At 40.0% G+C, this 14,209-nt stretch overlaps 1 protein-coding gene and 1 long non-coding RNA gene across 12 annotated transcripts in view; one reads left to right on the top strand and one right to left on the bottom strand.

The window, feature by feature from the left end:
* The window catches only part of SBF2 (SET binding factor 2), a 526,174-nt gene that overhangs the window by 372,850 nt on the left and 139,115 nt on the right, over positions 1-14,209 (top strand). The window lies entirely within an intron of this gene.
* The window catches only part of LOC101928008 (uncharacterized), a 90,122-nt gene continuing 78,641 nt past the window's right edge, over positions 2,729-14,209 (bottom strand). Inside the window, exon 3 of the long non-coding RNA NR_120539.1 lies at positions 2,729-3,102. This is a non-coding gene — a long non-coding RNA (uncharacterized LOC101928008). The remainder of the gene's footprint in view (positions 3,103-14,209) is intronic.

The raw sequence follows: 14,209 nt of genomic DNA, 5'->3' as shown, positions 1-14,209 counted from the left end.
GCTTGTGCATGCGTCACGAAGTTCTCGTGCCATGGTTTTCAGCTCCATCAGGTCATTTAAGGTTTTCTCTATACTGTTTGTTCTAGTTAGCCATTCGTCTAACCTTTTTTCAAGTTTTTAGCTTCCTTGCGATGGGTTTGAACATGCTCCTTTAGCTTGGAGAAGTTTGTTATTACTGACCTTCTGAAGCCTACTTCTGTCAACTCATCAAAGTCATTCTCCATCCAGCTTTGTTCCATTGCTGGGGAGGAGCTGCGATCCTTTGGAGGAGAAGAGGTGCTCTGGTTTTTAGAATTTTCAGCTTTTCTGCTCTGGTTTCTCCCCATCTTTGTGGTTTTATCTACCTTTTGTCTTTGATGTTGGTGAACTACAGATGGGGTTTTGGTGTAGATGTCCTTTTTGTTGATGTTGGTGCTATTCCTTTCTGTTGTTTAGTTTTCCTTTTAACAGTCAGGTCCCTCAGCTGCAGGTGTGTTGGAGTTTGCTGGAGGTCCACTCCAGACCCTGTTTGCCTGAGTATCACCAGTGGAGGCTGCAGAACAGCAAATATTGCAGAACAGCAAATACTGCTGCCTGATCCTTCCTCTGAAAGCTTCGTCCCAGAGGGGCACCCATCTATATCAGGTGTCTGTCGATCCCTACTGGGAGGTGTCTCCCAGTTAGACTACACAGGGGTCAGGGACCCACTTGAGGAGGCAGTCTGTCCATTCTCAGAGCTCAGCCGCCATTCTGGAAGAACCACTGCTCTCTTCAGAGCTGTCAGACAGGGACTTCTAAGTCTGCAGAAGCTGTCTGCTGCGTTTTGTTCAGCTATGCCCTGCCCACAGAGGTGGAGTCCATAGAGGCAGTAGGCCTTGCTGAGCTGCAGTGGGCTCCGCCCAGTTCGAGCTTCCTGGTTTCTTTGTTTACCTACGCAAGCTGCAGCAATGGCAGATGCCCCTCCCCCAGCCAGGCTGCCACCTCAAAGTTCAATCTCAGACTGCTGTGCTAGCTTGCAGTGAGCAAGGCTCTGTGGACATGGGACCAGCCAAGCCTGGCATGGGAGAGAATCTTCTTGTCTGCCAGTTGCTAAGACCTTGGTAAAAGTGCAGTATTTGGGTGGGAGTGTCCCGTTTTTCCAGGTGCAGTCTGTCATGGCTTCCCTTTGCTGGGAAAGGGAAATCCCCCAATCTCTTGCTCTTCGCAGGTGAGGTGACACCCCACGCTGCTTCGGCTCACCCTCCGTGGGCTGCACCCACTGTCCAACCAGTCCCAATGAGATGAAACAGGTACCTCACTTGGAAATGCAGAAATCACCCGTCTTCTGCATCGATCACGCTGGGAGCTGCAGACCAGAGCTGTTCCTGTTCAGCCATCTTGAAACGGATCTCCCCAAGTTAATAACTTTTTAACATGTATAGACACCTTTGAAACTATCACAACAATCAAAATAATGAACCAATTTATTATCCCCAAAAGTTTCTTGTACTCTTTTGTACAAGAAAAGGGATACAAAGGATACTCTCCCCTCTTCTCAACACCCTGCCTCTATACCCATTCCCAGGTGACTGCTGATCTTTTCTCTGCCACTATAGATTAGGTTGCATTTTCTACATTTTATGTGAATGGAATCAAATATGTAATTTTTTTGGTCTGGCTTCTTTTACTCAGCATCATTATTTTGATGTATGTAGTATGCATCAATAGATCATTCCTTTTTAATGGTGAATAGTACTGTTATATATTGTATAAATATTAGGTTGGTAAAAAAGTAAATGCAGTTTTGGACCATGAATTTTAAATCATTATAACTAGGCTCAAACACATTTTTTTTCACCTGTTTGTACTTTTTTTAAAATTCTTTATATTAATTTCTGAGGTACATGTCCAGGATGTGCAGGTTTGTTACATAGGTAAACGTGTGCCATGGTTGTTTGCTGCACCTGTCAACCCATCACCTAGGTATTAAGCCCAGCATGCATCAGCTCTTTTCCGTAATGCTCTCCCACCCCCACCATCCCCCAACAGGCCCCAGTAAGTATTGTTCCCCTACCTGTGTCCATGGGAGCTGAACAATGAAAACACATCTTTATTAATCAGAATAGGAACCGTTACAATCAACACATTTTTGCCAGTTAATAATAAGTTTCTTTATTCCTGTAGCATAAATGTCTGTGCTTCAAGATTCAACGAACTCTTGGAAAGCATTTTCTGCATCCTGCTGGTTGTGGAAGCATTTTCCCTGCAAAAAGTTGTTGAGATGCTTGAAGTGGTAGTCAGTTGACCAGGGGTTGGGTGCATACGGTGGATGAGGCAGCACTTTGTAGCCCAATTTGTTCAACTTTTGAAGCATTGGTTGTGTGACATGCATTGTCATGGAGAAGAATTGGGCCCTTTCTGTTGACCAATGCCAGCTGCAGGCCTTGCAGTTTTCGGTTTATCTCATCGATTTGCCAACTATACTTCTGAGATGTAATGGTTTCGCCAGGATTCAGAAAGCTGTAGTGGATCAGACTGGCAGCAGACCACCAAACAGTGACCATGACCTTTTTTGGTTGCAAGTTTGGCTTTGGGAAGCGCTTTGGAGCTGCTTCTTGGTCCTACCCCTGAGCTGGTTGTCACTGGTTGTCATATAAAATCCACTTTTTGTGGCACATCACAATCCAATTGAGAAATGTTTCCTTGTTGCATAGAGTAAGAGAAGATGACACTTCAAAACGATGGTTTTTTTTTTTTTGTTTTTTGTTTTTTTTGGTTCAGCTCATGAGGCATCCACTTATCGAGCTTTTTCACCTTTCCAGTTTGCTTCAAATGCCAAATGACCATAGAATGGTCAATGGTGAGCTCTTCGGCACCTTCTCGTGTAGTTGTAAAAGGATGAGCTTTGATGATTGCTCCCACTTGGTTGTTGTCAACTTCTAATGGCTGGTCACTACACTCCTCATCTTCCTCTTCTCCTTTGCAAAACTTCTTGAACAAGCACTGCACTGTATGTTCATTAGCAGTTCCTGGGCCAAATGCATTGTTGATGTTGCAAGTTATCTCTGCTGCTTTATGACCCGTTTTGAACTCGAACAAGAAAATTGCTTGAATTTAATTTTTATCTAACATCATTTTCATAGTCTAAAACATGAAATGAACAGCAAGTAATAAGTCATTAACAAAAGAAAAATAAAGTGAGAAATGCCCATTAAAATGATGTATAAAACATAACCACATTTATTTAAGAACGTATTCCAGTATCAAACGGCAGATTCCAACAATGCAAATACCTCAGTTACTTTTGCTTATCCATTCACATGTTAATGAATATTTGATTCATTTCCAGCTGGGGCCTGGTACAAGTAAAACTGCTCTCAACATTCATGCATAAGTCTTTGATGGACATAATGCATTCATTTATCTAGTTTAAAATAACAGGAGTGTATTGGCTGGACCCTATAGTATGTGTACTTTTAACTTTTTAAGAAATGTCCAAGCTGTGTTTCAAGCAGCTCTATCATTTTACATTCCCACCATGAGTATATGAGAGTTCCAGTATTTCCACATCCTCTCCAACACTTCCTGTAGTCAGTCTTTCCATTTGAAGCCATCCTAATAGGTGTGTGGTTGTATCTCATGTGGTTTTAATTTGCACTTTCCTAATGACTGATGATATTGGACATCTTGATTTATACTTATTTACCATCTATATATCTTTGTTGATGTATGTTCAAATATTTTGCCCTTTTTAAATTGGGTTGTTTGTTTTCTTATTACCGAGTTTGGAAAAATTTTTATATTCTGAATACAAGTCCTTCTCAAATATATGATTTTCAGTTATTTTCAGATATTGTCTTATATTTTTATTCTCTGAACAGTGTCTTTTAAAGATCAGAAGCTTTTTATTTTGATAAAGTCCAGTTTATCAATTTTTTATTCATGAATAGATATGCACTTGGTATCATATCTAAGAAGTCTTCTCTAAACCCAAAGTGACAAAAATTTTCTCTCATTTTCTTTAAAAATGCTAAATGTTTAGGTTTCATATTTAGATCTCAGCTGTTTCTAGTTTATCTTTTTAATTTGGTATAAGGTATGGGACCAAGTTCATTTCTTTTACAAACAGATATAGAGTTGTTGTTGCATCATTTGTTTACTCACTGAATTGGCTTTGCACTTTTGTGAAAAATAGTATAGATTTAAGTGCAGACATTAGCTGTAGGGTTTTTTTGTAGATACTCTCTTATCTGTTTATGAAAGTGTCCTTTGATTCCTAGGATACTGAGGAATCAAATAATTGATGTGGTATTTTGTCAGATTTTTTTTCCGTATCTTTTAAGGTGATCAGATAGTTTTTCTCTTCAGTTTTTTAACAGGGTGAATTACATTGGTTGATTTGCTAATGTGAAACCAGCTTTCCATTCTAGTTGATCATGATGTATTTTTTATTTTTTTATTTAATTTTTTATTTTATTAGAGACAGAGGACTTGCTATCTTGCCCAGACTGACTCCAGTGATCCTCTTGCTTCAGCCTCCCAAATAGCTGGAACTATAGGCACATAGTACTGCATCCGGTTTAACTTGTCGGATTTGATTTGCTAATTTCTGTGTCTGGTTTTGGTAGCAGGGTATTGCTGGCCTCATAAAATCAGTTGGGAAGTGCATACTCCGGCTCAATTTTCCAGTAGAGTTTGTCTAGAATTGGTATTATTGCTTCCTTAAATATTTGGTGGAATTCATAAATAAAGATATCCAGGCCTAGATCTTTCTTTATGAGAAGGTTTTTAACTTCAAGTTCAATTATTTTGTAGATGTAATGTATTTGGGTTATTTATTTTGTAAGAGGTATTTAGCAATTGGTATCTTAAAAGGAATTTGTTCATTTTGTCAAAATTGTCCAATATATAGATATAACATGTTAATCCTAGTTCTTTATTATCTTTTTAATATCTATAGAATCTAGAATAATGTCATCTCTCTCATTCCTCATGGCAAAAATGTGTTGTCTCCCCTTTTTATCCTGTTCAGTCAAGCTAGAGAGTTATACATTTTATTAAATTTCTCAGAGAACCAGTTTCGGGTTTCATTGATTTTCTCTCTGTTGTTTTTATGTTGTCTATTATTGATTTCTACACGACATTTTATTTCCTTTCTTCTACTTACTTTATATTTAATTAGCTCTTTGTCCATTTTCTTAAGGTAGATGCTAATGTGATTGATTTGAAACCTTTCTTCTTTTCTAACACAGGTATTTAGTGCTAGAAATTTCTCACTAAATACCGCCTTATTAGCAGCCAACAAATTTTTATATAATATGTCTTCATTTTTATTCATTTTTAAATACTTTCTCATTTCCCTTTTGATTTCTTCTTTGAACGCTTAGGTTATTTAGAATTATGTTATGTAGTTTATATTATACTCTTTGCGTGGATCTTTCAGAGGTTTTTCTCTTAATGCTTTCTAACTTCTATCATGTTCAGATAACATGCTTTTAAATTCATTGGGAGATGTTTTATGGTCCAGTATATGGTCTATATTGGCAGCTATTCCTTATGCACTTGAAAAGAATGTGTGTTCTAATATAAGAATTTTGATTGGTATAGCATTATGAAATTTTAAGTAGGGGCCATCCTTTTGCTTTTTCCCTACTTAAGATTTTCAGTCTTTCCAATGGTAGTTTGTTAAAAGGAAAAAAAAAAAGACAATTTTTTTTATTCTTAAGGCTAAACTTCAATTTTGAATTCTCACCAGTGACAAAAAGGTTTGCAAGTTTCTAACAGCTACAGGAAAATCAAATACAGTCTACCCGAAATATTTTTCTACTTATGCAGTGTAGAAATGACCAAAGTTCAATGTGAAAAGGGAAAAAAACAAGGAGACTAAAACACTTTTATAAGTACAACTTAAGCCAGATTACAGATAGTCTGCAATGGAGACAGCCCAGTTTCATAACAAAATCAAAGGGGAAAGATCCACATATCAGTCTTTGAGGCTGTCTGACTTTGATACCCTTTGAAGTTCAAACTGTTCTCTCTTTTATCTATAACTAATTTCATGGAAAACGTTATCACGTTGGTTCCAAACCTTATTTTTTAGCCTGGGGAGACTGACATTTTTCAGTTGCCCTATAACAAGTTCAGTACCCTGATTTGATGTCCCCTGCCATAATTTTCTAAACAGTATTCTAAAAATAGCAGCCAAAAGCCTAAGGAAAGGGCAATTGTGGGAAGAAAAGAGATAGAAAATCACACTTTCTATAACTTTAGGACTATAAGACCTATATTTTAAGGGTATTGTAGTCTAATGTAGTCCAAAATCTTTATGTGACACATGTGGAACTAGATTCGACTAGGTGAAATGTGTCTAATTCAAACCAAGATGTGCTGTTAGTGTGACATATACATTGGCTTTTGAGGACTTAGTCCAGTAAAGGAATATAAAATATCTCATTAGTGGACGGGCACGGTGGCTCACGCCTATAATCCCAGCGCTTTGGGAGGCCCAGGTGGGCGGATCACCTGAGGTTGGAGTTTGAGACCAGCCTGACCAACATGGAGAAACTCTGTCTCTATTAAAAATTCAAAATTAGTCGGGCGTGGTGGCGCATGCCTGTAATCCCAGCTACTTGGGAGGCTGAGGCAGGAAAATCGCTTGAAGCCGGGAGGTGGAGGTTGCAGTGAGCCAAGATCACGCACCATTGCACTCCAAGAGCAAAACTCCATCTAAAAATATATATATATATATATCATTAGTGACTTTTACATTAATTTTAGGTTGAACTATCATATTTTAGATGTGTTTGGTTAGATAAAATATATTTAATTTTACCTGTTTCCTTTTACTATTTTAAATTAGGCTACCAGAAAATATTAAATTACACATATAGCTCACATCATACAGATCCTGCTTGACTTAAAATGGGGTTACATTCCTGATAAACTCTTTGTAAGTTAAAAATATCCTAAGTTGAAAGTGCAGTTAGGCCAGGTGCGGTGGCTCACGCCTGTAATTCCAACACTTTGAGAGGCTGAGGAGGGAGAACTGCTTGAGCCCAGGAGTTCAAGACCAGCCTGGGCAACATAGTGAGACCTCATCTCTGCAAAACATAAAAAAAATAGCTGGACATGATGGTGTACACCTGTGGTCCCAGCTACTTAGGAGGCTGAGGTGGGAGGATTGCCTGAGCCTGGAAGGTGGAGGCTGCAGTGAGCTGTGATCATGCCACTTCATTCCAGCATGAGTGACAGAGCAAGAGCCTGTCTCAATCAATCAATAAATAAATAAAAATAAGAAAATGCGACTGGGCGTGGTGGCTCACGCCTGTAATCCCAGCACTTTGGGAGGCTGAGGGGGGTGGATCGCCTGAGGTCAGGAGTTTGAGACCAGCTTGGCCAGCATCGTGAAACCTCGTCTCTACTAAAAATACAAAAATTAGCGGGGCGGGGTGGTGCATGCCTGTAATCCCAGCTACTCGGGAAGCTGAGGCAGGAGAATTGCTTGAACCCAGGAGGCAGAGGTTGCCGTGAGCGGAGATCACGCCATTGCACTCAAGCCTGGGCAACAGAGCGAGACTCTGTCTCAAAAATAAATAAATAAATAAATAAGAAAATGCTTTCAATACACCTAGCCTACTGAACAACATAGCTTAGCCTAGCATACTTTAAACATGCTCAGAACACTTACGTTAGCCTACAGTTGGGCAGAATCATCTAATACAAAGCCTATTTTATAATAAAGTGTCAAATATCTCATGTAATTTATTGAATACTATACTAAAAGTGGAAAATAGAATGATTGTGTGGGTACTCGAGGTATAGTCCCTACCGAATGCATATCACTTTCACATCATCTTAAACTCAAAAAATTGTAAGTCAAACCATCATAAGTCTAGGACCATCTGTATTTCAGTCAGACATCATTGCTCTAGAATCCCATGCTCAAACTCTAGCTTAAGACACTAGTCTTGCTTTCCTTTTCCACCACTCATTTTCCTTTGATCCTGATGATAGAAGCCCCTGAAGTAGTGGTGGATGTAAGTGAGAACAGTTGAGAGCATCAAAGCCCTTACAGAGATTTAGCAAAAATTGCTTTTTAATTAATGGAACTAGCATGAAATTCAACCCAAGCTAATAAATCTGGTCTCTAATTTTCTGCCTCACACTTTATACTTCAGTGAAATCCTCTTAGTTTGGATTTTATTGCAATATTTGATTGAAGTTTAGGTGGCCATTTGGGGCCGGGAACTAGAGATTCTTTTTTTAAAAGGGTAAAGAAAATCAATTAGGTACAGATACTTTGCCAATAAGGGGTTACATTCCAAAGTTTACTGCTAAACCCTTCCTCCTGCAATTCACAGCATGATCTCCATGTGCCAGGAGGAGCCTGCCTAGAAAATGGTGAAGATCTACAACCATTTTTTGTTTTAGAGTCAAGAAAATATGTCCCATTGTAAATAGCTTTTCATTCTTTAAGGTTGCTTACTCAAACAACTCTTGACAGATTCAAAATTTCACAAATGTAGTAAACAGTGGCCGTGATGTTTCTAAGAATTACATTTAGACTGAAACCATTCTAACCACATTTTTGTAGAGTATCATTTGTCCCTAAAGTTTGTCTCACTGTAGCCAAAAATTCTGCCACTGGATTTAAATTGCTTAGTCTCTCCATTGTAGAACTCAGCACGCCTTGTCTGTTTTGTTGTTGTTGTTGTTGTTGTTGTTTTTAACTAGGGTGTAACCAAAATGCAGGTTTAGTTGCTCGTCACTTGCAGAGTCCAATTAACAAGGGAGAGATCTAGTATAAAGAAAATGATTTTTTATTCCAAAGCTAGTTTGGGGAAGAAGTACAGGCTTCCTGCCTTAAGGGTACCGCTTCACTTTTGGAGCAGGAAGTGAGTGCTTTTAAAAGGGAGTTTGGCAGGAATGGCATGCGAGGGAGGAAGAAAGAGGAGGGGATCCACATGACTTGCTTCAGTACTCTGTCTGCCCAGCATTCAAGCTGGCGAGCACTGTGCCTTTGTAGGCAGAACTAGGTTATAAAGGTAGCTGAAACTCTCCAGGTAGGAGAAAGTTTCCTAGTGGGCATACTTTGGGTTGTAGATTGACTGTTGTCTCTCGAGGCAACCTCCTGGTGGGTGCAAGTTCCACTCTGGAGCTTCTAAGCACATAGTTAAATGAACTTGCTCTGTAGGGAGTATCTGGTAACAGGGAGGTAAAAGGTTATAATTGCATTTCTAAAGGGCTAAGTAAGAAGTGGAAAGAGGGGGAAATAGAGAAAAGAGAAAAAAACGAGCTCATTCTCTCTGTCTCAGAAAAATGGGGGTGCTCAGTTACAAGGGTATGTTTCAAAGCAGGTCCTGTGCTTTTTTCAGTACACTACAGATGGTCTTTAAATGATAATGGTGTTTGGTCTATAACCATAATAACATTTCTTTAAATTTGTGTGAAATAAAAAAAAGTTTTGAATTCACATAAATAATGATAAACTAGTTTAATTTTGTAAACTTCTATTTAGGCAAAACATAATGCTTAAAAATGAAAAGCAGTAGACCCCATTTTTATTGCAGATATGTGTAAAAGTCTTATTTAAATTATAGTCATAGTTTAAACTATGTGCAAAATAACAGCCATTAAGTACTGGCATATAAGAGAAAAAAATTAGAGGAAAATGTGAAAGAAAAATGAGTCCAAATAGACTATTCATCTTCCAGTCCAGCTAAAATATGCCTCACTCGTGGATGCTGATTTTTTTCTTTTTTCTTTTTTTCCTTTTTCTTTTTTTGAGACAGAGTCTTGCTCTGTTTCCCAGGCTGGAGTACCGTGTCATGATCGTGGCTCACTGCATGCAGCCTCCATCTCCTGGGCTCAACCAGTCCTCCCACCTCAGCCTCCTGAGTAGCTAGGACTGCAGGTGCGCACCACCATGCCAGTTAATTTTTAAGTTTTTTGTACAATCGGAGTCCCACTATGTTGCCCAGGCTGGTCTTAAAACGCCTGGGCTCAAGCAGTCCTCCCACCTTGGCCTCCTAAAGTACTAGGATTACAGACATGAACTACCATGCCCAGCCCGTGAAGGCTTTTCTGATTGCTATTGGAATCACTCCCTCTTCTATAATCCCATAACATCTTTTTCTTCTGTTGTGGCAAGTTAAACACATGGATTTATATTAGCTATAGGTAAGCCTGCTTATCTGTTAGTTGCAATAGCTTGTAAGCCCTTTGAAGACAGAATAACTCCAATTGTAAGAGACTGTATGCAAGTTTTTACTTTGTATGCACTGGGCTCATACTTACTGGTGAAGAAATAAAGACATAAGTATGAAGTAAGTAACACAAGCATATTTCCTTAAAACACTTAGATTTTAATCTTAAAAATGTGGCGACAATTTACTTTAAGCAAATAGAGTAATTTTAATCATGCAAAGAATTTCACACATTGCTTGTATCCAAAATCAGGTATAATTCTAGTTTTTTAGAATGTTTCAAGGCCATATCAGAAAGGATAATTTTAGTACACTATAAGGCAGTGATTCTCAAAGTTTAGCGAGCATTAGAATAACTAGACAGCATGTTAAAACACAGGTCGCTGTGGCCACACCCAGAGTTTCTGATTAAGTAGAAACTAGGATGGAGCCCAGGAATTTGTATATTTAACAAGTTCTGGCTGGACGCGGTGGCTGAAGCCCGTAATCCCAGCACTTTGGGAGGCCCAGGCGGGCGGATAACCTGAGGTCGGGAGTAGGAGACCAACCTGACCAACATGGAGAAACCCCATCTCTACTGAAAATACAAAATTAGCCGGGCATGGTGGCGTATGCCTGTAATCCCATCTACTTGGGAGGCTGAGGCAGGAGAATCGCTTGAACCCGAGAGGTGGAAGTTGCAGTGAGCTGAGATCAAGCCATTGTACTCCAGCCTGGGCAACAAGAGCAAAACTCCAGCTCCAAAAAAAAAAAAAAAAAAAAAAGAAGTTTTCAGGTCATACTGATGCATATCATCCAGGGACCACATTTTGAAAACTATTACTATAGGCAGTAGGCTGAGAAGGGAAGAGAAGTAAACTGGAAAAGAGAAAGAAAGAAGTAGGGCAAAGTATGCAATGAATGGGAAAATTAAGGGTAGGAGGAACCCTTAAGGGTAGGTTGTGGAACCCTGACAGAACACCAGGGCATTAGAAAGACGTGGTCTCTCTCCATGTCATGCTTCCCTGACTAGGGTATCACTGTCCTCGTGCCTGGACATTCTGAAATAACGGTACAGGGCATGGTGTCCACATTGCAATTTAATATCCACTCACTTTTGTTTCGGGAAATTGGCCTCCTTCTGCAGCTAGTATTTTAAAACCAGTACTTTGAAGGGCTACTTTTTCCACACAGCACTGAAATCTTAGATAAAATCATAAAGAAATTTTAGATTAATGTCTCTTCTCACATGTGAAAGAAGATACTTTATAACTCAATAAGCAGAGAGTCTAATGATCTGCAACCTAATTATAAAATTCCTTTAAGTATATGTTCTGAAAGACAGACTAGGTTTTATGTAGGCATATGCTAATCCATATGTGTGGTAATTAATAGTATATACTTCTTGCACTGGTGCCTAGAATATCTAGATCAGGTCTCATAAACTACACACAAAGCTGGTAGCTTCTCTGTATCAGGAACTTGGCCTGACTCTTGCCTCCCTATCTCCCTGCCAAAGCTCAGTTATACAACTTAGAGTAAATTCTTCCCCCTTCCCAATTCTGCCTGTTTTTCCATGCCAAAAATAAGTAAATAAATATACATATATGATATACATATATGTGTGTGTATATATATATATATACACACACACACACACACACACATATAGTATTTGCAGTTTTGAGCCTTATGAGTTATATGTAGTTGCTGTACTCTCCCAGTATACCTGGCAACTTACTGAGTCTTATTTCTATTTCTTTGGACTAGAGGTATATATAAGATAAGAAATAAGTAAGTTTTTTTTAAAAAAGAAGAGGCCGGGCATGGTGGCTCACACCTGTAATCCCAGCACTTTAGGAGGCCCAGGCAGGCGGATCACCTGAGGTCAGGAGTTCCAGACCAGCCTGACCAACATGGAGAAACCCCTGTCTCTACTAAAAATACAAAATTAGCCGGGCATGGTGGCACATGCCTGTAATCTCAGCTTCTTGAGAGGCTGAGGCAGGAGAATTACTTGAACCTGGGAGGTGGAGGTTGTAGTGAGCCTAAGGGAGGAGACCACCCCTCATATTGTCTTATGCCCAATTTCTGCCTCCAAAGAAAGAAAAAGTAAAAACTAAAAGGCAGAAATGAAATCCACAAGCAGACAGCCCGGGGCCACACCCTGGACCTGGTAGTTAAAGATGGACCCCTGACCTAATTGGTTATGTTATCTATAGATTCCAGACATTGTATAGAAAAGCACTGTGAAAATCCCTATCCTGTTTTGTTACGACCTAATTACCGGTGCATGCAGCCCCCAGTCACGTACCCCCTGCTTGCTCAATCGATCACGACCCTCTCACGCACACCCCCTTAGAGTTGTGAGCCCTTAAAAGGGACAGAAATTGCTCACTCGGGGAGCTCGGCTTTTGAGACAGGAGTCTTGCCGATGCCCCCAGCCGAATAAACCCCTTCCTTCTTTAACTCGGAGTCTGAGGAGTTTTGTCTGTGGCTCGTCCTACTACAAGCCAAGATGGTGCCATTGCACTCCAGCCTGGGCAACAAGAGCAAAACTCTATCTCAAAAAAAAAAAAGAAGAAGAAGAAGAAGAAAGGAGAGGCTATTTCAAATCTTGATGGAAAATCAGCTAGAGAATGTGAGGGAAAAGAGATTAAAATATTCTAACAATAGTGGTATAAAGAAATGTCTAGGAATTACGAACTGAAGAATGACCTAATTCTGGGATCCTGGTAATTTACCTCCATACATTTACTTCTGCTCTTTTCCTAAAAGTTGGATAGTAGAGGATTAAAAAATAAAAAAAGCCAGATGCAGTGGCTCACACCTGTAATCCCAGCACTTTGGGAGGCCAAGGCGAGCGGATCACAAAGTCAGGAGATCAAGACCATCCTGGCTAACACGGTGAAACCGCGTCTCTACTAAAAAAAAATAGAAAAAATTAGCCGGGCGTGGTGGCAGGCGCCTGTAGTCCCAGCTACTCAGGAGGCTGAGGCAGGAGAATGGCGTGAACTCAGGAGGCAGAGCTTGCAGCGAGCCGAGATCACGCCACTGCACTCCAGCCTGGGTGACAGAGTGAGACTCCGTCTCAAAAAAAAAAAGACGTAAATCCACAAGGAAAAGAAAATAGATTAAGAGATATTAGCTACAACATTTTAGAAGACAGAAGGCAAAGGGGCCAGGCGTAGTGGCTCATAAATGTAATCTCAGCACTTTGGAAGGCCAAGATGTGTGGATCATATGAGCCCAGGAATTGAGACCAGTCTGTGCAACATGGCAAAACCTTGTCTCTGCAAAAAAATAAATAAAATACAAAAATACAAAAATTAGCCAGGCATGGTGGCGTGCACCTGTAGTTCCAGCTACTCAGGAAGCTGAGGTGGGAGGATGGCTTCAGCCTGGGAGGTTCAAGGCTGCAGTGAGCCATGATTGTGCCACTGCACTCCAGCCTGGATCATAAAGTGAGACCCTGTCTCAAAAAAAAGAAATAAAAAGAAAATGGACAAGTAGACTTAGTAGACATGGGAAAGCTAAAAATAGGAGGATGGGGGGGAAAACAGAGAAGCAATCTGATTTGTACTACAGAGCTCCCCCAAAGGCTCAAAAATGGATAGGAGTAAAGGTTATAGCCATGGTGAGAGTCCAAAGGTAGTAAGTTAGTAAGAGGGAGCCGATGACAAATGTGGCGAAGATAGAAATAACAGTACTTGATTAAGCTTCAAGAGGGCAATGATCATATAACTGCTTAATTCGTGGTCCCTAGATGCGCCTATTTCAACTAAACATATTGTTGGGTGGATAGATAGAAAGAAGGTCACTTTGCAGGCATCAAGTTCATATGTGATGGAATCGTAGGGTATGATGTGATGGAAAGGTTTTTGGCTAGGCGACTGAATAAATGCTGGTCCTGTTTACCAAAATAGTGTGGAAGAGGATCATGCTTAAGGGTGAGTGTCGGAGGCCTGGGTACAGATAATTGAGTTCAGGATATATCAAGTTTGGGGTTTTTAAAGACATCAAATTGGAGGTGTCCGGTCAGATGGAGCTGAGGAGGGTGGTCTAGG

This window comes from Homo sapiens, chromosome 11 (genome assembly GCF_000001405.40).
Source record: "Homo sapiens chromosome 11, GRCh38.p14 Primary Assembly".
NCBI classification, from domain to species: domain Eukaryota; kingdom Metazoa; phylum Chordata; class Mammalia; order Primates; family Hominidae; genus Homo; species Homo sapiens.
This window is presented reverse-complemented; position numbering and strand designations above follow the sequence as displayed.